The following is a 26,315-nucleotide window of genomic DNA, read 5'->3' on the forward strand; positions in this document are numbered from 1 at the left end:
ATTTTTTTGGCTGTGGTACAATTGAACTTTTTGATTACTTGTTTCTACTCATAGACTTCTTTGATTCTATGATGGAGAGTACTCTGCACAAACATATTTAATATGGATGTCAAGATTCCATCATTATTGGTTGGCAAGATCTTTAAGTATGCATTTAAATGTTCTTTTACATTAGGCTCAGTAATTTTCATCATTTCGTTGTTTCTTTTATTTCCCTAAATGATTCTTTGTGATTTTGTTATACAATGATCAGTTTATAAATCATTTCTAAGAATCAACAATAATTGATAAAAGTGAGGAATCCATAGCTTCTTTTTCATGTGATCATGTTTTTGGCAATGTTTTCCATATTCTTTTTTGTTATTAGTTGCTCATGTGTTGTCTGCTTTTGGAATCTTGAGCACATTAGGCTTTTAGACTTAAAAAAAATCAAAGAACTTATTTTTGTCAACATAAAAGCTTTTAGTTCAATTTGCCCATTTTGCATAATTTCATTGAAAAGCTGTTCTCCTATTCTGTCAATCTCCATCACTTTTGTTTGAAGCATCTGGTATAACAGCTGTCTCAGTCTTTTGCTTTCCTCCTTCCTTTTCCTTCGTATTCCTTCCATTTCTATCATATCCCTCGCTTGTCATGCCTCAGTGTCTTTATCTTGTATCCTAAAATGACTCTTTTAAAAACACTCCCAAGTACTGTTCCTATTGGAATTAGACTGCTGTTTTTTTCTTCCAGAAATTATCAGGATTCAATTGCCAGTATGTGTACATATATGTAATATAGTTATATGTAAGTATATGTAATAAAATAAAAATCAAGGGCAAGTTAATCAATTGTTGGCATCCAAAATTTTAGAAAGGTGTCATGGAATTTTGACTGTGTTGCTAGGAATTCTGCAATATCAAGTTCTTTATGATCCTCAACTCTCTATTTTATAATTTAATATTAAAAACGTTATGAGGGATTTTGTGAGGTGGATATAATACATATTCCTTCTGTACCAAGGACTTTGAGGACTATTAGAAAAAATAAATGTATGTAATTGAAATTTTGCTTTTCTACACATATAGCTTATGTTTATAAAGTTCAGTTAACTTAAACATAGTGTGTTCTAGAGAGAAATGCTTTGGAATCTTCTGTATTTTTTTAAATTTTTTAAATTTTTTTAGTCAACTAGGTCATTCTTATTGGTCCACGCCATCTCTTGCCTCCAGCCAATAAATATATATTCAGGTAGTTGCCAATGACAGAAATACAAAGGCTAAATTGGTGCCTTTGCTGCTGAAGAGATTTGATTTCTTTCTATTGCTCCTCTTGATCTTGCTAGGTAAATAATTTGTACAAAAACTGGGTCTTGTTTCTTTTGTCAATGGTTAAATATTTGTATTTTAAATAATTTACCAGGTATATAAAGTAGAATAGGAAAAATATAGCCAAGTTTTTTACACGCAGTGATATCAAATGACATTTCCGTTGCAGCACATGCTGTGAGCCCGTGTCTTGTGTACATGAGCAGAGGGATAATTTCTTTCTGACACAGTAGGACTGATAGTTACCAGTTCTAATTATCTGTAGAAAATATTTCAGGCACAATGTACCAAGTTAAACACTTCACATGAACATGTGTAATTGAAGGTATGCAGGGCTTACAACATACAACAGATGTAGTTTGACATAAATTCTAGAATGCAGAAAGTCAGCTGAAAACATGTTAAAGCTTCAATAAATGCAGTATCCTTAACAAAAGCACTGCCTATAAGTGTGACAAATAATAGCAGCTGGCTTTTCAAAAGGCAGGAACCAGGCAGCAGGGCTCTTGAGCACAGAAGCAGACAGCCCACAGGTAGCTTCATTTTATTAGGTTAATTGACAAAATTGTTTTTAATTAAATTAATTAAAGATGGGTTGGTTCCCCCCAAGGTGTGTCTGTAAAAGTGCTGAATAGGCTGTTGAAGGCAGTTACTTGAACTCATGCTCATGTTTAGTGAAGTTAAATTCCTATTTTCAATAGCTGAGTTTGGAAAGAAAATATAAATCAGGGAATGTTTGTTGCATTTCGTTTCTTTTCTTTTCTCTTGACAGCTCATTTCAGTCCATTGTAGCACTAGTACATGTCCTAGATAAAGCTGAAATGTACATATTAACACATATGAATATGTTACATATGTAAACTGCAGTAGGTTCATGGCTCTTGCAGGTTTGATGTGTATGATTTGGGGTATCCATGAGCAGTCCTGAAGGACCATGGTGTAACTTTACATTTGTGATACCATCCAGATGAACACTTAAACCAGTCACCTAGTTGATGTATAGAGCTAGATAAATCATCCAGAATGCATGTGAAGGCAGTATGGGATATGCAAGAAATAAAATTGTGAGCAAAAGTCAGTGTCTACTCTGCTTTCAAGATTTTGCAGCCTAGAAGAAATCATCCTCCCTCATTTTATCTCTACCATCATCTTGCATGCATTAACCATTAGGTACCATTAGGAACAAAATGCTTTGAAAAGAAAGCTCCTTCTTAGTTGTGACGGAAATTAGGATTTATAAAAAAAAAAGTGTATTTGAACGTCTTGAAATATCCTATTAATCGTTAGTGCTGTGCACTATTACTATTGTTATATTCAATTATCAGTTTATTAGAATAGTTTCCAAATACTGTACTATAAAGCCCAGAGGATCGGGTCAAAGCGAGGAAGCCAGTGGTTAGAGGAGAGAGTGAGGGAAAGGTTGGGGAAAATATTACAGTAAAAATAGTTCATGATCTGGAAGAATTCCAGAGGATATCCATATTTCTATGGTGGTGTTTTACTCTATGTCCAAATGTCCAAGCTGGCATACATATATTGGCTTGTATGGCTTATATTACACATATATATGTGTGTGTCTGTGTGTGTGGGTTCATAATATATTTAAACATAAATGTATTTATTTAAAAATGTAAGTATATATAAAATATATACATTGGAAATACTGTAAATATATATGTGTATGTTTATAAATACATATATACATGCATGTATACACATATGTGTATGTATACATCTATACATACATGTATACACATGTGTATGTATACATCTATACATACATGTATACACATGTGTATGTATACACATATACATACATGTATACACATGTGTATGTATACACACATACATACATGTATACACATGTGCGTACACACATACATACATGTATACACATGTGCGTACACACACATACATACATGTATACACATGTGTGTACACACACATACATACATGCATACACATGTGTGTACACACACATACATGTATACACATGTGTGTACACACACATACATACATGTATACACATGCGTGTACACACACATACATACATGTATACACATGTGTGTACACACACATACATACATGTATACACATGTATGTACACACACATACATACATGTATACACATGTGTGTACACACACATACATACATGTATACACATGTGTGTACACACATATGTGTGCATGTATATATACATATACATATGTGTGCATGTATATATACATATACATATGTGTGCATGTATATATACATATACATATGTGTATGTATATATACATACACATATATATGTGTATATGTATATATACATACACATATATGTGTATGTATATATACATATACACATATATGTGTATGTATATATACATATACACACACATATATGTGTATATGTATATATACATACACATATATATATAGAGAGAGAGAAGCTGAATTTTCAAAATGTCTATAATGTCATTACATGATATGCCATGGTAAGCCAATACATTGGAGCTACTCAGAAAAGTCAGAAGGGTTGAAACAGGTATCATAGGGCTTCTAATTTGCCTTCCCACAGGTATTACCTGGGTTCTGCCAAACACAGATAGTAAATGATTGGCTTAAAAATCTCTGAAATGAGATTGCAGATTCACCTTTTCCAACCTCTCCAGAGCTGGCATATTGTGACCATTCACGTTTATTTATCATCATGACCATTATCTTTATTCTGACCCATTGTCCCTGTATCTCCTTCACATCCAGCCATTGGCAATACCACCATAAACATATTCGTGGCTTGTATGCACTTTATTTAATTCTGATGTTCTATTCTGAATCATGCAATATTCTGATACAAGGAAAACTCTTTTTTCCTACTTTCTCTAATATGCTACCCATACAAGACAATGACTAAGAGATATAATTTAGAAGATGTGCCTTTTTTATAACTTAAGAGAGTTGAAGTGCTTTCCTAAAATTAGATTATAACTTGATATTTAATTTTTCATTTAGAAAGATTTTCCAAGAGGAAATTAAGAATTATCGTAACCATGTTTGATTTTTAAATACATTCTTTCTTCATGCCTTTTTTCCAAGAAAATGACAGAAATGTTGTCTGCTGTACACTTCAGAAGAAATGAAAAGCAGAAAACAAACCTTAAGACTGTATTCAAATTCACTCAATTTATTTAAGAAATATTTGTTTAGCACTGATCATGTACTAGGAAAATCGTTACAAAAAGACTCCTTTCTTGAGGTGTTTTGAGTCTAGTGAAGGAGACAATCAATAAACAAGAAACAAAAAAAATAGTAATTTGTATATTATATTTCTAGCAGTGCTTTGGGAAAAAAAAAATCGTTTGTGGTGTAGGGAACTTCTGGAGGACTGATATTAGGCAAGCGAGTTTGTTACACCAAATAAAGTTATTATGGTTGGACCTGTTAAGATTGAAAAGATATTTTATTAGATTGTAATTTCAATTTCAAATACTGCATGTTTGTATGTAAAAAATAACAAAGAAAAGGTAGAACATGTAAAGCTGCTCTCTACTCCAACATCAATAAAACCATTATTCATTCTTTAGATTTTACTATACCTTTTTTAGGTTTCACCTAGATTTGGAGGGGCCTTCTAAATGATGTTTTGTATTATCTTTCTATATGTGTCAATCTACCTACCTATCTATGTTAAAGCTGCAGAAATTTCAAATACAACTTCCCTTTATAAATGGGAAGCACTCCACAGTGGACAATCCTTTTTAACTAGGACATGAAGGATCAGCCAATTTAGCCATTTGTCTACACAGAAAAATCTGCTGTTCTAAAAAGCGTTTCCTAAGTAAAGATTTAAAAGCCTAAAATAAAATACTTCAAACCAGGAAAACATATAACAGCTCAGGTCTTATTTTAAAGTATCTTTTTCCCGACCCCCTGAAAGACAGATAATGCTAGTTTATTGTTTTTCTTCTTGAAATCTTCTTCTTATACATACAGTCAACTTCAGGCACTAGATTGTCTTATAAATATTAATTTATAGTTAATTAGTCGTTTTATTTGAAAGAATGCTAAAAATGTCTGGTCTGTCAAAGCATGCATAATAATTATAAGTAAACGCACCTTCACAGCCTTCATAAAGAAATGATAGTTTAATCTTAGTACTGTCACTTCTTATTGGAATGGATGATTCCTGGCAGCTCTGTGTCAAAACGAGTTGTCAGAGGGGATTACTTCAAAGACTCAGGTTCCTAATTGACAAAACAATAAGACAGAAAGACAATCCACAGTTCAATGCATAGCCCCATTTATATGGAGTTTCCAACGCTACATTCTACACAATTAGTAACTTTATATTTGAATAGAAGAAATCTTAAATTACAGACCAGGATTTGGGTCAAACCTTAGCAGTTCCTAAAGGCATGTAGTAATGTGACCTTGCTTACATTTGATTTGTTTTGATTACCATGCAGCATGGGTGAAATTACACTTTACTACTCACAATAATTGTTATTTTATTCCAGCTCTTCTTGTACTTCCATAGTATTGTAAAATACTTAGAAAAATATCTGGTAGATAAAAGTGGCTATCTGCTCTATTTCAAATCTTAACCATATACCATTAGGCACAGCATGGATGGAGATCTCCCTCCTTTCAATTATTAACAGATTTCTGTAAGGTACTAGGTAGAGCTTTGGAAGAAAACCAAAAAAAATTTTAGCTTTCAAACTAATGGTGTCTTTTTTTTTTTTATTATTTATACTTTAAGTTCTGGGATACATGTGCAGAATGTGCAGGTTTGTTACATAGGTATACACGTGCCGTGGTGGTTTGCTGAACCCATTAACCCGTCATCTACATTAGGTATTTCCCCTAATGCTATTCTTCCCCTAGCCCCAGCAACCCCGACAGGTCCCAGTATGTGATATTCCCCTCCCCGTGTCCATGTGTTCTCATTGTTCAACTCCCAGTTATGAGTGAGAACATGTGGTGTTTGGTTTTCTGTTCTTGTGTTAGTTTGCTGAGAATGATGGTTTCCAGCTTCATCCATGTCCCTGCAAAGGACATGAACTCATCCTTTTTTATGGCTGCATAGGATTCCATGGTGTATATGTGACACATTTTCTTTATCCAGTCCATCATTGATGGGCTCTTTTAAACTTCTAATCCTAACACTAGAATGTGTTAGCACAATACTGTTTATATGTATATTCATTCACTCCACACAGTTACAAGGAAGGTGTTATTACTATCTTTAATGTTTAGATGATAAAATTACTCCTTAGAAAGGTTTAATTAATTGTCCTAAATCACCCAATATAAAAGTGAAAACTACGGGTTTGCATATAAATCAGCTTGTGATGAAGGCCCACAGTTTTAATTAGGGAGCAATATTAGTTTATAATATTAATGAATATATTTTTCTTTTTAGAGAAATTCTGACATTCTATTCAAAGAAATTCTGGAAATTATTCAAATGAGAAGTAATCTTTTTATGTGAAGTACAAAATAAGTAAGGCTGTTTGGAAATTTTGTAAAATACATTGATAACTAAATGCACAACTGAAATTTGAAACTCACTCTTTTCTCGATATCATGCGCCTTCCTCCTATTGTATCTCTCAGTCCTCTAATCTCCCTCAATGTGCTCCAGTGGCTCAAGTCTCTTTATGTGTCCTGGAAAACACCAGACATAACTTAACACTGTTGATGTTGACCTTGATCACCTGGCTGAGGTAGTGTTTGTAAGGTGTGTACAAGATTAAATTTGTCTTGGAAACCTAGAGAATTCATGTGAGAAATGCCCACTGGAAAATTAAAAGGAATGTTTGTTGGAACTATAGGAGTTGGAGAGGGAGGGAAGTTGTTTTTTTTTTTTTTTTTGAGAAGAAGTCTGGCTCTGTCTCCCAGGCTGGAGTGCAGTGGAGTGATCTCGGCCTACTGCAAGCTCCGCCTCCCGGGTTCACACCAGTCTCCTGCCTCAGCCTCCCGAGTAGCTGGGACTACAGGTGCCCACCACCATGCCCAGCTAATTTTTTTGTATTTTTAGTAGAGACGGGGTTTCACCGTGTTAGCCAGGATGTTCTCCATCTCCTGACCTCGTGATCCGCCCACCTCAGCCTCCCAAAGTTTTGGGATTACAGGCGTGAGCCAACATGCCCAGTCAGAGGGAGGAAAGTTTTTAATTTAAATTTTGGAACTATTGCTTTGAACGGAGTTAACAGGGGCTTTCGCTAGTTTATTTGTTTTAAGACTTCTATGAGACATTAACATGTCAATAAACATTGTGAAGTTTCAGGAAAAACATATAATATATGGTTTTCTCCACATTTATTTGGCCAAAAAGAAAAATAAACATATTTTCTATATTCTACTTATTAATGTCTAAAACTAGTCAAACTTTCTCACTTTACACATGCAGAAACTGGTATTAAATGCTAATTAATTCATTCAGCCAGGTGCAGTGGCTCACACCTGTAATCCCAGCACTTTGGGACGCCAAGGCAGGTGAATCACCCGAGGTCAGGAGTTTGAGACCAGCCTGGCAAACATGGTGAAACCCCATCTCTACTAAAAATACAAAAATTTAACTGGGCATGGTGGCTGGTGCCTGTAGTCCCAACTACTTGGGAGGCTGAGGCAGGAGGATTGCTTGAACCCAGGAGGTAGAGGTTGCAGTGAGCCAGGATCACGTCATTGCACTCCAGCCTGGGCAACAAGAGAGAAACTTCATCTCAAAACAAAAACAAAAAGAAAAGAGCTAATTAATTTATTTACTTACTGTGTGCTGAACACTTCTTGTTGGGCAGCAGTGATACTTTATTCCCTTGATAACAGTGGTAAACCAGACAGGGATGCTTCTTCCTACACAGCTACACATGGCTCATTACACCATGCTACCTCAAAAAGATGGGAATTTGGAAGCACAATACAAGTTAAATAGTATTGTTTAACTTTTAACTTACCTGGCCCTAAAATACAATATTGCATTGAAAAGTGTTTATTTGTCCTATGGTTGAGAATAGACACACACTTAGAAACAATTAAATAGTTACTCATTGGAATTGGCTTTACTATAAATAAAATGTTAAGGTCCAAAATAAAATTTTAAAGCATTTGTAGAAAATAAATTACGTTCCCTTTTCACTTTTCTTCCTCTGGAATATGTACTCTGCTCATCAAGGTAAAATAAAATAAAGCAAAATATATAACATAAAACAGAATTAGGACACTTCACAAGGTGTACCTAAATAAGTGAGTGAATCAGCATACTTCTATTTGTTTGATGTAGCAGACAATTACATTATTACACTTCATAGAATAAACATAGTTAACAAATCATGCACATTGTCTCCCTATTCCTATTCAGAGGATCACACCGTTTGACTATATTTTTTGATAAGTATTTCCATTTGCAGACTCAGAAATCAGAATTGTACTTCTGTTCATTTTGCTCCTCTCCCTAATGCTATTTAGATTAATAGGATAAATACCATTCTAAGTCATTTGCACTTGGCCAAGGTAAAGTACGTGGAATGAAAACTTATTCTTTCCATCCAATACAGTTCTCATTGCAAGGAGAAAAAGGAGTAAATGTGGAAAATAGGGAAAAAATAAACATCTTAAGGTAATATTCTGATTCATATCATTGTTTTCATACTCACTTTATTTTAATACTAAAAAAATACTATTTATATTACCTAAACATCCTAAACCCTAAATCTTGCTTTGCAAATGTTCTGAATTCTTTCTCCATTTACACAAACGTCACTTACAGACTAATTTTACTTTTGAACCTAAAGTCTTTTACAATTTTTTCCCTTGAGTTGGCCATGCAATATTTTTATTTATTTTTAGGTTTTATTTATTCGAGAGTTTTTTTTCAAAATTTAGGCTTAGTCTTGATAACTAATGTACATTGTTTTCAATGTAGTAAGATTGTTCTGAACATGTCATTTACCAACTCCACTCATCTCAGTTAGGTTGCCAAAGAGAACAAATGAAAGTTATAAAAAGTATTAATTATTTATATGTTATCATGTTGTGAGTGAAACTGAACTGACTGAAATACAATAAGTCTAGTATAAGAATTTTGGAGTTAGAAGGAACTGAGTTGACAACTGGGTCTACTACTCATTAACTGTGCTCTGCCCTTGACAAGTTAATACTTAACTTCAGTTCAAAATCTATAATATAAGGATGAATAGTTTTTGCAGCAATAAATTTAAAATGTATGAAAACTTGGTAGGATTATATATCAGAGTTTTAATCTGTGTGCTTTTCTCATCCCATTTTCTATCAATTTTACTGCATACCCTTTCTCTTTTTCTACCCCTCATAGTTGTTTGAGCCCTCTATTACAAGGCTAGCACAAAGGCTGTGAATATTGCACTGGTCAAAAAGATTCATGTTCATGTTTTTAAAAAGAGTTCTTCAGGCAGCAGAAACTAGATTAATATTTATTTAAGGAAGTAATAGGAAAGAAGGAGGAGGAACACCAGGGCCTTGGAAACTCAAGTTCTCAAGAACCACAGAAGAAAAACAGAGTTATTCATCTTTGGTGAGAGAAGTCGGTAGAAGACCAAATGTAGGCGGTTAGGTCCAAGTACTGGAAATCCTGTGGAAACTAATTCAGGGCCAATATGCACATTTTGTTACCATCCTTTGGCCTGCAGCAAATCAACTGCCTACCGATTGCTCATCCTGGATTAATGAATGCCTCATTGTGTTTGGGAGATTTTTAGGGCATTAATAATTCAATCAATCTTCAAAGCCTATGGAATAGAGGTTGAAAGAACTTGGACTTCTTTTTATATAATAGTATGGAAAGGGAAAGTTTAGCTCCAAAACATAGGAACAAAGCAGAGTTCCTTTGAATTTTCTTCCAATCTAGGCTGCAGTAGAATGGATATTTGCTTCTCAAAAGACTTGGAATGAAGGACCAGTTTTCTTTTTCCAATATGTTACAAACTAATAACTTTGTAAAATACAGGGGAATATGCCCTTATGGCTAGAAGTAGAAGTTGCGGTTGGTAGGTTTTAAAATATCAAGACACATATTGCCCCAAGTGTGTATTCAAAATATATATATCAAAAATATTCAAGTATTCAAAATATATATCTCAAAAAATCATGTATTTATATGAAACTAATAACATAAATATTTGATAATCAACCTCTTAACAGAAATAAATTAAACTAGCAAAACAAGTATTATTGTATTGAGAGCATTCTGTTATGGTTAATTACAAAGTAATACATTCTAAAGAAACTTTGTTATATGTAGGTATACCTCAAAGATACTGTGGATTCAGTTTCAAACTACTGCAAAAAGCAAATGTAATAAAACAAGTCACATGAATTTTTTGGTTTCTCAGTGCATACAAGATAAGTTATGTTTACATTATACTGTAGTCTGTTAAATGTACAATACAATTTTGTCTAAAAACAATTTATATACCTTAATTAAAAACACTTTATTGCTAAAAAGTGCTAACAAGCATCGGAGACTTCAGTAAGTTGTAGCGTTTTTGCTGGTGGAGAGTCTTGGGTGTTGCTGGCTGCTAACTGATCAAGATGGTGGTTGCTGAATGGGATGAATGTGGCAATGTTTAAAAATAACACAAACATAACGCCTGCCACATGGATTGCCTCCTCCTTTCACAAAAATTTTCTCTATAGCAGATGGTGCTGTTTGGTAGAATTTTAATCAAGTAATCCTTTTTTCAAAATTGGAGTCAATCCTCTCAGTCCTTGCCACTGCTTTGTCAACTAAGTTCATAAAATGTTCTCAAATCTTTGTTGTCATTTCAATGATGTTCACAGAATCTCTACCAGGAATAGATTCCCTCTCAAGAGACCACTTTCTTTGCTCATTCATAAGAAGCAACACTTCATCCCTTCTAGTTTCATCATGAGATTGCAGCAATTCGGTCACATCATCGGATTCCAATTCTAATTCTACTTCTCTTGCTATTTCCACCAAATCTGCAGTTACTTTCTCCACTAATGTTTTGACCACTCAAAGTCATTGATGAGGGTTGAAATAAACTTCTTCCAAACTCTTGTCAATGTTTGCTTTTGACCTTCTTTCATGAATCATGAATGTGCTGAATGAAAACTAGGATAGTGAATAATTTCCAAAATATTTTCAATTTACTTTGCTTACATCTATCAGAGGAATCACTATTTATGGTGCTAAAGCCTTTTGAAATGTATTTCTTAAGTATTAAGACTTGAAAGTGAAATGATGCCTTGACCTATGGGCTGCAGAATATATGTGGTTTTTATCAAACATGAAAACAATATTAAATTGTTTGTACCTCTCCATCAGAGAGCTCTTGTATGAATAAGTGCATTGTCAATGGGCAGTAACATTTTGAAAGGAATCTTTTTTTTTCTGAGCAATAGGACTCAACAGTGGACTTAAAATATTCACTAAACCATACTGTAAACAAATGTGCCATCATCTGTTTGTTCAATTTATAGTGTTGACTATATTACTTTGTTGTTCCATTTATACAGGTAAAGTAGAATTAGCATAAACCTTAAGTGCTCTCAGATGTTTGGTATGGTAAATGAGCATTGGCTTCAAATTCAAGTCACCATCTGCATTAACCCTAACAAGAGTGTCAGCCTGTCCTTTTAAGCTTTGAGGTGGGGCATTGATTTCTCCTCCTTTCTAGCTATTAAAGTCCTAGATGGTATCTTCTAATAGAAGGCTGTTCTATCTACACTGAAAATTATTTGTTTAGTGTAACCACCTCTATCAATTAATTATCTTAGCTAGATTTTCTGTATAACTTACTGTAGCTTACATCATCACTTGCTGCTTCACCTTGACATCTGGTGTTATGGAGATTGTAAGCCAACTTCATGAACCAACCTCTGCCAGCTTCCAACTTCCCTTCTGCAGCTTTTTCACCTTTCTAAGCCTTTATAGAATAGAAAAGTGTTATGGCCTTGCTCTGGTTTGGGCTTTGGGTAAAGAGAATGTTGTGGTTTGTTTGAGGCCTGAATGAGGTGAGGAAGAAAGAGTGGGGAATGGATGGTCAGTGGAGTAGTCAGAACACACCTAATATTTATCAATTAAGTTTGTCATCTTATATGGGCTCAGTTCTTGGTGCCCCAAAACAATTAGAATAGTAACATCTAAGATCACTGATTACAGATAACCATTACAGACAAAATAATAATTAAAATAACAGACATAATAATAATTAAAAGCTTGAAATATTTTAAGAATTACAAAATTGTGACACAGAGACATGAAGTGAGCCCATGCTATTGGAAAAAATGGTGTCAAAAACCTACTTGATGTAAGGCTGCCACAAAACTTTGATTTGTTAAAAAAAAGTGTTTATGAAGCACAATAAAATGAGAAATACCTGTAATTTCCAAGGAAAATGGAGTACTGTGCATGCACAAGACATTGTATAGATGTTGGAAAGGAATGTTCAGATTTAAAAGGATTAGTTGAAAGATACATTAAGTTAAATTTAACCTCATAGAAAGTGGCATAAAATTGGAGAGTTAAATTTTTCTATTGTAATAAGAGTTTTGACTGATTTCTTATTACTGAAAATTATATGTATTTTAGAAATAAAAATTGTTCCAATATAGACTTCTGGAGAAATAGCTTTGAAATAGAATAGTTGAGTTTTCCTTCTAGTTGTATTAAGCAGCTGTGTAGGTACTCACAATATTTGTCACATATTGTCATTAGTAAGAGATTGAATATCACAGTGATCTAATGACATTTTCTCAGTTTAGATCACTTTGTCAGTACATATTTTTAGTTTACTTCAAGGTTATTTTTTGAGTAAATAAAAACATTTTGCCAGTGTATTCATCCTCCTATTTTATGTACTTTCCTTGAAAAAAATAATTTGGTGTTATCTGTTCTTTATTAAATCACAGTTGCCTTGCTGAACTGTAAATGAGCTTGTAACAATTCAAGATTTGTGAAGTATACGTGAATTAAAATATGTCTGCCTTTATTGACGAATGTGCTTGTATATTTGGATCAGTGAAGGTTTAGAAGTATTAGGAAAAGAACTGTTTTAGAAATGTAGCTCAGCATTAGAAAGCAACAGAATTGTACTACCTGGACTTAAACTCTTGAGTGCAAAAGATGCATTCACTAAGCAAAATATGATAGATTGTAGAAACATCAAAATTGTTTTGAGTGCTGAGTCTGACATGCTGAAATGTTTAGAGAATTTTCAGAATATTTAGCAGTTCATTCTTGAAGATGAGTTAACAAAAGTATCAGGTAAATTATATCGTTATTTCTCCCTTTTGGAAAACCTGTTGTTCTCACTTTGATACATTGGGTGGCAAAATTCTATTTAAGAATGGAAAGGAATATGCTATTAAAATTTAGTCTCCTACTAAATGTATTATTCTATGTTTGACACTCCTTAGCTAAGAAGAAGAAGCTAATTGTTAGAGTTAGGGGGAATCTGAGATGGAGATATCCTATTACGAGTTTCATTATCCTTGATTCAGAATCTGGTGTATATTTTTCCCTAATTTGATTTCTTTTTCTCTTAGGAACTTTCTTCCTTCTAGTGATTTTAAACCTTTGGGATGCTTTTCAATCTTTTTCCCTCCTCCCTCTATCTCTCCTTTCCTTCCTTCTTTCTTCCATCTTTTTCTCCTTTTCTTTTCTCTGCTTATCTTTTCCTCCTATACTAAAATAGCATCATCATACTTATTTTTCATTCTTGGTTCTTCCTTTAATCAGAACAATGAAGGTGGCTTCTGGGGTATAGTTTATCTTCTGCCATCTGGGTCCTGGTCACATTTGTGAGAATTCATAGAAGTACAGAATTATCATTTGTAAATTTTCTCTATGTAAAATTGCAATCAAATATTTTTAAGTGGCCTACATTTATTCTGGATTGAGCATTCAAGCCTTATCTTCTTTGATAATATTTCTAAAATCCCTTCACCTTCTCTTTATAAAACATCTTATTTCTGAAGGCCAAGCTCCTCCTTTCTCATTCAGTTCAATGATTATACTCTCAAAGATTATCCTACTTATATTTCCACCATTGTTTTGTTGTTATTGTTGTTGTTATTTAAGTTCTTCATTAGCAATGGTTTACAGTTGGTTACTACTGGAAAACAGTTTGTAATGTTATATTAAAGATGAGGTTCCCTAAAAATTTTAACTTGTTCAAATTGACTGTATATGAGGACATGTGAAAAACTCTAAAGGTGCCTTTAAATTATTCATTCCCAGTCTGAGACATAAAAGGTACAAATTACATTGCCATCACAAGAGCAAGAATGCTATCAAAGACGGCTGGAGTTGCAAAATAAACTCCCTTGAGGAGGCTTCCATAGATCGAAGGTGGGAAATACATCAAAAGGAGTAACTGCAATGGATTGGAACATAGTATGTCAAATTCCATTAGTTTATTAAGCCACTAAAATATTGTAGATTAATTCCCATTGGTACTTTTGGAAAATGTCTAGAAATAACTTGTTTGAAAAATGACAAATAAAAGAAAACAATCAAATATTTATCTTGATTTTTATTTCTAAATCTACCATAGATAACCAAATAATTCTCAAGAAAATGTGTCTCTCTTTAGAATTATTGTAGTTGGTAGAAAAAGAAGAAATTATATACAAATCCCATTTTATAAACTCCTAATAAAATTCTTGATTTAGGCAATAATAATAGCCACTAGTATGACGAAAACAAAGACAAAAAGCTTATTTGTACCTCTAGATGAAAAAACACGAGCCACCTATAAGGCATTCTTGCATTAAAAAAAAAGAAAAGAAAAGAAAAGAAAAAGATCTAACCTGAATCTAATTATAGTCCTTATATTTCAAAAGTTTAGAAAGAGGAAGGGGTAAGAAGGAGTAGGAGGAAGAGGAGCAGGATGAAGGAAAGGGAAAATGGAATAAATTGTACATTTTAAAGATATGAATCATTAGTTCAAATAAATATTTCCATTCAAACTTAGAACTTCAGATTTTTTTACCCTAGTATGTTAAATCCTACATCTGTAGCTCCTGTCTCTTACCTGAAAAACTTAGTGACAAAGGTGCTATAGTTTGAAAGTTTGCATGCCTCCGAAATTCGTATGTTGCAATCTAATCCCCAATATGTTGATATTAAGAAGTGGGGCCAGGCCGGGCGCGGTGGCTCATGCCTGTAGTCTTAGCATTTTGGGAAACGGAGGCGGGCGGCACACCTGAGGTCAGGGAGGCAGAGGTTGCGGTGAGCCGAGATCCGCTATTGCACTTCAGCCTGGGCAACAAGAGCAAAAGTCCGTCTCCAAAAAAAAAAAAAAAAAAAAAAAAAAAGTGGGACCTTTGGGAGGTAAGGAGATTATAAGAATAGAACCCTTCAGAATGGGATTAGTGCCATTATAAAAGGGGTCTGAGTGAGCTTGTTTTCCCCTTTGCCCTCCTGCTATATGAGAATGCCTGAAGAAAGCACCATTTATGAAGCAGAGGGCCTTTACCAGACACCAAATCAGCTGCAAACTTCATCTCCAACTTCTCAATCCCTAGAATTGGGCTACACCCAGCTAAGCCATGGGAAAGGGACTGTCCAGAGCCTGGAGGTTCATTCCACAAGCCAGTGTGTCTAGAAGTTGTAATATTGAGGAGGTTCATTCCACAAGCCAGTGTGTCTGGAAGTTGTAATATTGAGTCAAAGAAAATTATTTTCAAGATTTAAAATTGAATGTTGTTTTTCCTCTTGGGTTTTAGACTTACTTGAGACCTGTTACTCCTTGGTTTCTTCTGATTTCTCCTTTTTGGGAACGAAAAAGTTTATTCTATGCATGTTTCACTATTTTATGTTGGACGCACATAACTTACTTGATTTTGCAGGCTCACAGCTGGAGAGAAATTTGCCTTAGGATAAATCACACCTTTAATTTCACCTCTATGTAATTTAGATGATATTTAGTTGAGACTGGACTTAGACTTTAAAGTTTATCTTGAAAAAGTTAAGAAATTGGGGCTACTAGAATTAAATTAATTTACTTTGCATGTGAGAAGGACATTAATTTTGAGTGGCCAGGGGCAAATGCTATGGTCTGAATTTTGTGTCCCCCCAAATTAATATGTGGAAATCTAAGCCACAATATGTTGGTATTAAGTGACAGGACCTTTAGAAAGTGACTAGATGTTGAAACTAATATTCTCATGAATGTGATTAGTTCACTTATTTAAAAAAAAAAAAGAGATTTAGGTGAGCTTGCCTTTCTCCTTACCCTTCTATCATCTAAGATACAGCAAGAAGGTGCCATTTGTGAAGCAGAGAGCCCTCATCAGATAATGAATCTTCTGGTGACTTAATCTTGAACTTTCCAGCTTTTAGATCTGTGAGCAATAAACTTACGTTGTGTATAAATTACTGAGTTTAAAGTATTTTTTATAACAACCTGAATGGACTAAGACACAAATATAACAAAAGGATTGCCCATATACACTGACCTTTTTATTCTGTTGACAGGTAATTTTTTTTTGTCATATTTTATTTATGTTTATTATTTTACTAATTATTTAAGATATTTCAAACCTATTAACAATTTTAAGACAGTAAACTTCACACATTCATACATTTTAAACATTTTCTACCATCTGAGCTCTTTCTATCTCCTTTAGTTCAAATCTTATTGCTGTAATTTCATGTCAATTACTTCTCGTTGAATAACTAAACTAGATGAATATAGAGTTGCCAAGGCAGCATTAAATCAGTTTTCCCTTGCACAGCTTTGCAGCAGATGTATTGTGCCCATCTGGCTGATCTGCTGCTCGTGTCCCTTTGCCTTTATCTTAATTAATTCAGACTACTACAACAAAGCACCCTAGACTAGGTGGCTTACAAACAACAGAAATTTATTTCTCATAGTGCTGGAAGCTAAGAAGTCCAGGATCAAGATGCAGGCAGAGCAGGTGTCTGGTAGGGCCCAGCTGCCTTGTTGCACATGGACATTTCTGAGTGTATCCTCATATGGCAGAGAGCAGATAGAGAAAAAACAAGCACTCTCATGTCTTGGATAAGGGCACTAATCCCATTCATGAGGACTTTGCCTCATGACCTCAGTAACTTCCAAAGGCTACACCTCTTAATACCATCATACTGGGAGTTAGATTTCAACATATAAATTTTGGAGGAATGCAAATATTCAGTCTGTAGCAGGCTTATTGTGATTTAAGGGAGTGCTACTTAACCCTAATGTGTACAACTGAGAAAACTGTAAAAGTGAGGATTCTGACTTAGTAGATTTGAGGTGGGGTTTCAGTTTCTGTATGTCTAACAAGGTTCTATGAGATGGCGCTGCTGCTTGTCCCTGAATTACACTTTGTGTAGCAAGAGTTTAAGATTTTCTGTGATAAGGGATTTTGTTTTCAGATGAGTAATATGCTAGATTTCCCCTCTTTATCAATTTTCTTGTGTTTGGGTAGGTAATTAAAAGGATAGCAGTACCAAAATTGAGGTAGCTGTTTTTCCTGGGTTTTGTTGTCTGATTTTTTCTTACCCTCTTTACTGATGGTATCTCTAAGCTGTCATTGGTAAGCTGGTCCTCTTCAAAGTGTTCATCTTCATTCCTAGTGCATGTTCTGTCTCATTGGTCTACCTCCTGTACCTTAGCCATGGCTGTCAGTGTTCTCAGCTCAGGGAAGCTTAACATATAGTGATAGAGAGTAATAGTATTTTCTCATTTAATAAGAAAGAAGCTACTGGGTTGCTTTCAAGGAGAGCTCTCTAACTTCATCTTTTCCTGACTCATCATTTTGGAGGTGGCCTGACTGTCACCATTTTGGAGGTAATCTGTTGTGGGTAATATGTATTAGAGTTATGATCGCTGCATATTTTCTGCCTTCAACTGCAGCACCACCTGTAACATTTGTGGCCTCTGTACTTAATTCCCTTTAACGACATCAAACCTCAAGCCTTTCCACCTCATAAACCACAGAGTTGCTTCCTGGTTTACCTTCTTTATAACAATCTACTGCACATAGTATCTTTCTTAGTGTGTTTCAGTTAATTATATCTTAAATATTTCTTACAGTACACGTAACTGAAAGATTCTGTGGATTTGAGGTCACTGGGAGCTGCTACTTTATCTGCTCCTCATCTCTGCCCCGGGTGCAAAGCTTATTTTCTGAGACTGAGAGAGATCCAATAATGAGTGGCACCTGGGTTCCTTCTTCACCGCTCAGTCATGGAGATGATGACTAAGACCCACTCTAATGCCTGCAGGTCCCCTTCATGGTGACATTGATTAGGCCAGAGATGGTGGATCCATTCAGGGATTTCTTGGACTCACCCTTTACTTCCAGAACCGGACTCAACTTTTGTTTTTATATCTGCAAAAATTAGAAAATCATGCCTACTTTACAGGAGAAGTAGAGAAAATATTTGCAAAGCACATAGCAAAAACCAAGCATACAAATACTTGCAGGAAAAAAAGTAGATTTTAAAAATGTTTATGAAAAACTTTTGTGAATTCAGAAAAATACGATTGTTATCGTAGATAGGTTGTTAATACCTACTGATCACTTTTCTTTTCTATAAAATGATTGAAAAGCAGTTCATATACTGCAGAGGAAAGCTAGTATTAGTACTGTTCTTCAGTAATCAAGCTCCCTAGATATGTGGAGGTAACTTGATAAAGAAGATGATGATTTGCATCTCTTGGGAGATTTCATTTGCCTCTTAGAGCCCAAGATTACCAGAAAGGCATTGTGTTTTGACAGATAAATTTCAATTGGACACATTTTAGATCAACACATAAATGCCTTAAGAAAATACCTTTTTTGAGTATAATATTTGACAATCTTGTTCCAAATTCAGTTTTCTTTCATACTATAAAGTTTCACATGTCAAGAAAGATAGTCAAGGAACATTGTTAGGTGAGACACAAAGAGGATACCAACTTTGCCCCATGATTTGAACACATTTATCCTTGGAAGCACCCTTCATCCTTCCCATTTTAGCTCTATGTACCCTGTGATATTTAATACTTCCCACATACACCTAGAAGATCTATTCTAATGCAAGTGAACAAAGAGGAGGAGGAGGACTGTGAGGCAAGGAAGTTCATGTGTAGGTGCTGAGAAATCTGTAAGGGTTCTGGTGTTTTATCTTTTCTCTGTTCTCTGATGACCTTGGGATATAAGGTCACTATGGTGAATGAGGAGCCAGTCATTTCTAGAGAAGCTTTTAAGATAATGTATGTTCACCTTCTGATATACAGAGATAGGCTACATAAAACATCTTATGACTTTAAACACACTGGAGCTCACCTGATAAACAGAGAAGCTATTTCTATAGAAATCTATGATGGGTGAAAATATCTCCAATGATAAGGTCTAAGCTTCTTCAATAGTAAAGTGTATTCTGTAGTAACAGGCTTTGGGAAAGTTCTGGTGTTTATAATAAAGATGAGTTGAAAAGTTTAAAATAAATAAAAAAATGTGTAGATTAATTGCTAAAGAAAATTATATCTAGGTAACAATAATAGAGGTTGTTTTAAATGTGATTAAAATAATATTCCATTAAATGTAGCAGAGTGACATGATCTTTATAAAGTGAATGTTCAAGTTGTCATGCCCATGTTTCTAAGAAAATATGGCCAAGAAAAATAATTTCTAAAAGTGGCCATAGAAAAATACATATTTTACCTTTATGGTAATTTTTTTGTGGTGCTCCTTTTTGATAATGAGTGATGCTGTTGAGATTAAAAGTCCCTTCCTTCGTATGGTCTTTGGAACTTTGCCTCTACTCTATTAACTCTCTCATCTAATATTAGGAGAGTGATAGCACTGACTCCCAATCTTACCTGTTAAATAAGTCCACAACAGCAGGTGAAATTCCTCAGGCCAATTTTGAACTTAGTAGCTTCGATTACAGGGTGGTTTCTGCTTCCATTTGTTATCCTTTCGAAATTCAGCTTGGTGCTCTACGTACTGATTCAGCCAAGGTTACTGTGCTATTCATCTTGCCATAAATTACATGGATAAACTTTTTAAATCTCTTTAGCCTAACTGCGTTTGATCTCCTCTGGATTATAATAGAAAGAATAATACTTATCCAAGATTTGGCAGTATTATCTTGTTTTATTTTGGAGGGGTGGAGGAAGAGGTGTAGAGCAGGACAAATTCAGTTGAAAAAACTTTTTGTTTGCATTCTTTCATGAGCCTTTTAACTGATTTCCATGGTATCAGCAACCTCTTCCTTCCATTCGGTCCATTGAAGCAATCTTTGAAGTATGCATATTTGATCAGGATAGTCCTCAGCTAAACAAACAAACAAACAAATAAAGAGTATTTCAATGGTTTTCTATGGCCAGTTAATGGAGGCCATAATAAAAGCCTACCTTGAAGACATTACAGGTTTGGTTCAGACAACTGCAATAAAGCAAATATCAGAATAAGTGAGTCATGGAAAATTTTTGATTTCTCAGTGCATATAAAAGCTATCTTTACATTATACTGTAGTCAATTAAATGTGCACTTGCATAATGCCTAAAAAATGACATATATAACTTTATTTAAAACTATTGCTAAAAATTGCTAATGATCTGAGCATCCAGCAAGTTGCAATCTTTTTGCTGGTTATGGGCCCTGCATTGATGTTGATGGCTTCTGACTACTCAGGATGGTGGTTAGTGAAGGTTGGGATAAATGTGGCAATTTCTTAAAATGAGAAAACAATGAGGTTTGCCACCTCAATGGACTCTTCCTTGCGTAAAAGATCTATCTGTAGCATGGAAGGCTGTTAGATAGCATTTTACTTACAATAGAACTTTTAAAATTGAAGTCAATCTTTCAAACCCTGCTGCTCTACCAACAAAGCTTGTGAGATATTCTAAATTCATTGTTGTCATTTCAACATTATTTACTGCACACTCTCCAGGAGCAGATTCCATCTCAAGAAACCACTTTCTTTGTTCATCCACAAGAAGCAATTTTTCATTCATTCAAGTGTTATCATGATGTTGCAGCAATTCAGTCACATCTTCAGGCTCCACTTCCAATTCTAGCTCTCTTGCTATTTCTGTCACATGTGGAGTTAATCCCTCTGCTAATGTCTTGAACCCCTCAAAATCATCCACAAGGATTAAAATCAACTTCTTTCTAATTCCTGTTAATGTTGATATTTTAACCTCCTTCTATGAGTCACAAAAGTTCTGAATGGCATCTAGAATGGTGAATTCTTTCCAGGAAGTTTTAATTTACCTTGCCCAGATCTATCATAGAAATTACTGTCTGTGGCAGGCATAGCCGTCCGGAAACATCTTTCTTAAATGATTGGACCTGAAAGTTAAAATTCTCAAACCATGTACTCCGGGATAAATATTGTTTTAGCAAGCATGTAAACAACATTAATTTCCTTGTTCATCTCCATTAGAGCTCTTGGGTAACCAGGTGCATTTTGAATGTGCAACAATATTTTGCAAGAAATATATATTTTTCCTGATCAGTAGATCCTAGTAGTGGACTTAAAATATTCAGTAAACCATGATGATATACTTTCATCAAGGCCTTGTTGTTTTATTTATGGAGCACAGGCAGAGTAAATTTAGCATAATTTTTAAAAACCCTAGGTTTTTGAAAATTGTAAATGAGCATAAGCTTCAACTTCAAGTCACCAGCTACATTAGTCCCTAACAAAAGAGTCAGCCTGTGCTTTGATGCTTTGAAGCCAGCCATTGACTTCTACTCTCTAGCTATGTAAATGTTAGATGGCATTTTCTTCTGATAGAGGGCTGTGCCATCTATACTGAAAATCTGCTTTTTAGTGTAGCCACCTTCAGTAATCATCCTAGCTAGGTCTTCTGGATAATTTGCTGTAATTCTACTTCAGCACTTGCTGCTGTGCCCTGCATTTTCATGCTAGACATCGGCCTTTTTTCCTTAAACCTTATGTACCAGCCTCTGCTAGCTTCCAATTTCTCTTCAGCAGATTCTTCACCTCTCACACCCTTCACAGAATTGAAGAAAGTCAGGGCATTGCTCTGGATTATGCTTTAGCTTAAGTGAATGTTGCGGCTACTTTGATCTTCCTTCCAGACAATGAAAGCTTTCTTCATATCAACAATAAGGGTGTTCTACTTTCTTTCCATTTATGTGTTCACTGGAGGAGCATTTTTAATTTCCTTCAAGAACCCTTCCTTGGATTTACAACTTAGCTGATTTTTTGGCACAAGAGGTATAGCTTCCACCCTATCTCAGCTTTAGATATACTTTCCTCAGTAAGCTTAATCATTTCTAGCTTTCGATTTAAAATGAGAGACATGTGACACTTCCTTTCACTTGAACACTTAACAGGTCATTTTAAGGTTATGAATTGGCCTAATTTTAATATCATTGTGGGAATAATGACTTCCTTCAGAGAATAGGGATGTCTGAAAAGGAAAGAGCAATGAGGGTGTGGCCTGTCAGTAGAGCTGTCAGAATACACACAGTATTTGTCGAAAATTTTCCATTTTACACAGGTGTGGCTTGTGATACTCCAGAACAATTGTAATTTTAAAGTCAAAAATTACTAATGGCAGATCACCACAACAGATATAACAATAACAAAAAAAAAGTTTGAAATAATGTATTACCAAAATGCAACACGGACACGTAAAGTGAGCACATGCTGTTGGGAAAATGGCGCAAATAGAATTGCTGAAAGCACAGTTGCCACAAATCTTAAATTTGTAAAAAAAAAAAAAAAAAAAAAAAAAAAAAAAAAAAAAAAAAGGAAAATAAATAAAATGAGGCAAACCTGTATTCAGAATCCTTGTTATACACAGTGGAACCTGGGGCAACCCTGCCCTTTTGGGCTTGAGTTTCATCATCTGTACAGTGGGACTGGAGGCAGGAGGGTTGAGTAAGCTGACTTCTAAGGTCCCTTCTGGTTCTCTCTCCAGTGACAACGGCCTCCTTGAGCTTCCTACATGGGATGCCTGCTGCAGAACTGTCCCTTAGTGAGCCGTGGTGAAGAGGATCTGCAAAACGGGATAATCTTTCTTGAGCAGGGAGGTGAAAGAACCCAGCAATGGCATGGATGGATGTCCTTGGAAGAATGGAAGGCCCCAGTGTGGTGGGGTGAGGCTTACATAAAAGCACCCCCAAATGCCATTCACTTTCTTCTTCCTTCCTAAAATAATTGAAACTGTGGCTATTGGTAAGCACCTGGTCTTTGCCCAGCATTGTAGCAGAGGCTATAGCAGGAGGCCAGACGTCCAGCTCCCCAGGGAGTAAGGGGTCCCATGGACACAGCCTGATGGGACCAGCCATGATGGCGGGCAGAGCTGTGTCTGGAAAGGAGTCCAAACACCAAATTCTAGTATTGGGATCTTCATGGTGATCATTTGCAAGGCCTCAATTCTGCCACAGGCTGTTCTACTATTCCTTGTTCTACTGTTCCTAGCTTTTTCTTAACACTATTTGCTAAATGCTCTTCTTTTGGCCATATAAAACTGTTATTCCTCAGACTACATACTTATAATTTGTGTGTTATTTTTCATTCTGCCCTAAAGTTCTAAAGTCCAGAAATGCCTTTTCATATCTTCGCTATATACACACACATATATGGAATAGCAAACTGTGATTCTCTCCTTGAACCACCCAGGAATAATAAATATGTGGACTTTTTGAAGGTAGAGACTGTGGCTTGTCAACGACTGTAGAGTTAAAAAACATGAGTTATTTCTTTTGAATAAGTAGGACAAATATCACCAGTATATTGTAGGTACAATCAGCTAAACTCTTTTTCCCACAAACGCTGGATAAATTTTGTGATCACAATTACTGACATAATAATAGTTTTCCTTTCACTGGGAAAAGTCTTCTGTAATTTTGTGTTCATTTTGCCTTTTTGCCTGTTTACTGCTAAAAAGCGTGATAGTCAAATTGTCTTCTCATTCAAATTCTTAACGTTATGTTGTGATTTAAAATCAGAGCCAAAAACACAGAGCTGCTTATTCACATTTCTCTAATTTTTTTACCTAACAAAAAAGAATAAATCATTCACAGACATCTGAAGAAAAGTTACATAATTTTAAAAAATTATTACATGGAGAGTTACTAAGGGTATTGAGTGAGTTAAATATCCAGGAATTGATGGCTCTGGTCAGTCTCATTTTACAGAATCACTGGGGAGTGATTTGCATGTTTTGAATTTTTAGAATTTACTTGATAAAATAACATGCAAATGGGGAGAATAAAGACATGAACAAATTTTAAGTGGCTACCTAGAGAGCCAAGTCTTAAATTCTCCAACCACTCATTATTCCTGAGCTTGAGAATAAATCAATGAATCAAGATAAAGCATGAGTGAAAAGGAATAATACTGGGATAGCCACCAAAGTTTCTTTTAGAATAAAGAAAAAAAAAAACAGAACGAACAGTTGTGTATAGTAGCACTGAGAACATTAGAATTTCCTTCTTTTGACCCTTCTAGATATACTTATTGTAATTGTGTTTGGCTCCAGCACTCCTCCTCTTGTTTTTATTTTGAATTAGGTCCAGACTTTTTAGCTCCAGGGAAGCTAGGAGTAGTACTAAAATTGCTCTTTCACTTAAACAGAGCTAATTGCAGCTACGATGTCGTTCATAGACTGGAAATTAATGATGGGAAAGACCTGTTAGATCATCTCTTCCATCTGATTCTGGCAATACAGGATTATTTTTTACATTGTGTCCTGGAATATTCTGCCTGGTTAATTTTAAGTGACTAAAATAATGGTGCTTTCACTATTTCCCTTGGGAGACAATTATGTAGCCTAATAAACTTCACTCAGGACATCAATTTGAAGATCAGCCCAGGTTTTCTTTTCACTTCGTTTCATGCCATTACTTCTACTTATACACCCTTGGATCACCCTAAACAATTCATTTTCCTTATCCATTCAATACAGCAAATTTCCTGGCTACCATCCTAAAAGAACTCCAAGGATGGTTTCATTTGCATGTCTGAAAAAGGCTATGGTCTTGCTTAGTGGTGAAGCAAAATACAGCTATTCATTATTCCATGAATCATGCTTTTCCAAACGGAGGCAAAGGAAGGCTTTAAAAAATAAATAAATAAAAACCCACACAAGAACCTAGCATTTGCATTATATCTGCACCTTTAATTAATCAGCTTTAAATGTATATTAAAACTTTCTTTTTCTGTGACTTTTAAATATATCACTTCTATTAGATTTTCCACTCCCCAAAATCTTATCATTAAAATTTATTTTTGGATTCTATGTTTCTCCTTCATCACAATGTTCACTTGTTCTCTCAGTGTAAACCTATTATTTTTATTCATTCATTTTAAATATACTAAAACATTTTAAATAAGTATGTATATTGATTTCTTGTGTCATTCAAATGAGCATACATCTGATTTTGTATTATAAAACGATAAAGTAGTCAGTCATGTACGGTATCATTTAGATTTTTGACTGAAGAAAAAAGATTAGGTCTCTATAGATGATAGATAATGACAGGAAAGCATTATTACTATAAACGATATGCAATAAAAGAAAAATATTTTTGCCGTTATTGCAAATTTATTAGGAGAGTTAATAGATTTCTGGGGTTTGGAAACAAGCATATTTTAAAATTCTTGTAACAAATTATCCTTATGCCTATTTTATAGAGAACTGTTTCTAAATGGAAAAGTTATGACCTAGCTACACATTATGTACATCGTAATAAGCAATAAGAATAGTAATCATTGTTATTTTTGCAAGATGAACTTATTTAAGATAATATAGTTCATGAGAATAAACTACTCACCCATGTTAAGTAAAATAAATGATGTTGCTCACCAAAATGAGGCAATAGAAGCAATGTATTATAATAAGACTTCTCACAGGAATTCAGCTTAGAGAGAGTTTCAATATATTTCAGATAGATAAATTTTAAATAAATTTTAAAAACTCACATGTAATTCCTATTCTCAGTTTAAGTACCCAAGGGACAAATTCAAGAGTAATTAACTTAAAACATAGAAGTTGCTAAATCTTCTGCAGATACACACTTTCCTCTAACTTTTTA

General features: G+C 34.7%; 2 long non-coding RNA genes across 3 annotated transcripts in view; one reads left to right on the forward strand and one right to left on the reverse strand.

Moving 5' to 3' along the window:
• The window catches only part of LOC107986284 (uncharacterized), a 116,209-nt gene extending 90,657 nt beyond the window's left edge, over nt 1-25,552 (forward strand). For both annotated transcript variants that reach the window (XR_001741712.2, XR_001741711.2), the window contains one exon: nt 23,195-25,552. This is a non-coding gene — a long non-coding RNA (uncharacterized LOC107986284). The remainder of the gene's footprint in view (nt 1-23,194) is intronic.
• Nucleotides 5,410-8,183, reverse strand: LOC105377255 (uncharacterized). Its single transcript, XR_938828.3, has 3 exons — nt 8,068-8,183; nt 6,868-6,962; nt 5,410-5,537 (listed from the first exon to the last, which is right to left on the reverse strand). It is a non-coding gene; the product is annotated as an uncharacterized LOC105377255 (long non-coding RNA).
• Nucleotides 25,553-26,315: the final 763 nt, after the last annotated feature.

Source organism: Homo sapiens, chromosome 4 (assembly GCF_000001405.40).
Source record: "Homo sapiens chromosome 4, GRCh38.p14 Primary Assembly".
Taxonomy (NCBI): domain Eukaryota; kingdom Metazoa; phylum Chordata; class Mammalia; order Primates; family Hominidae; genus Homo; species Homo sapiens.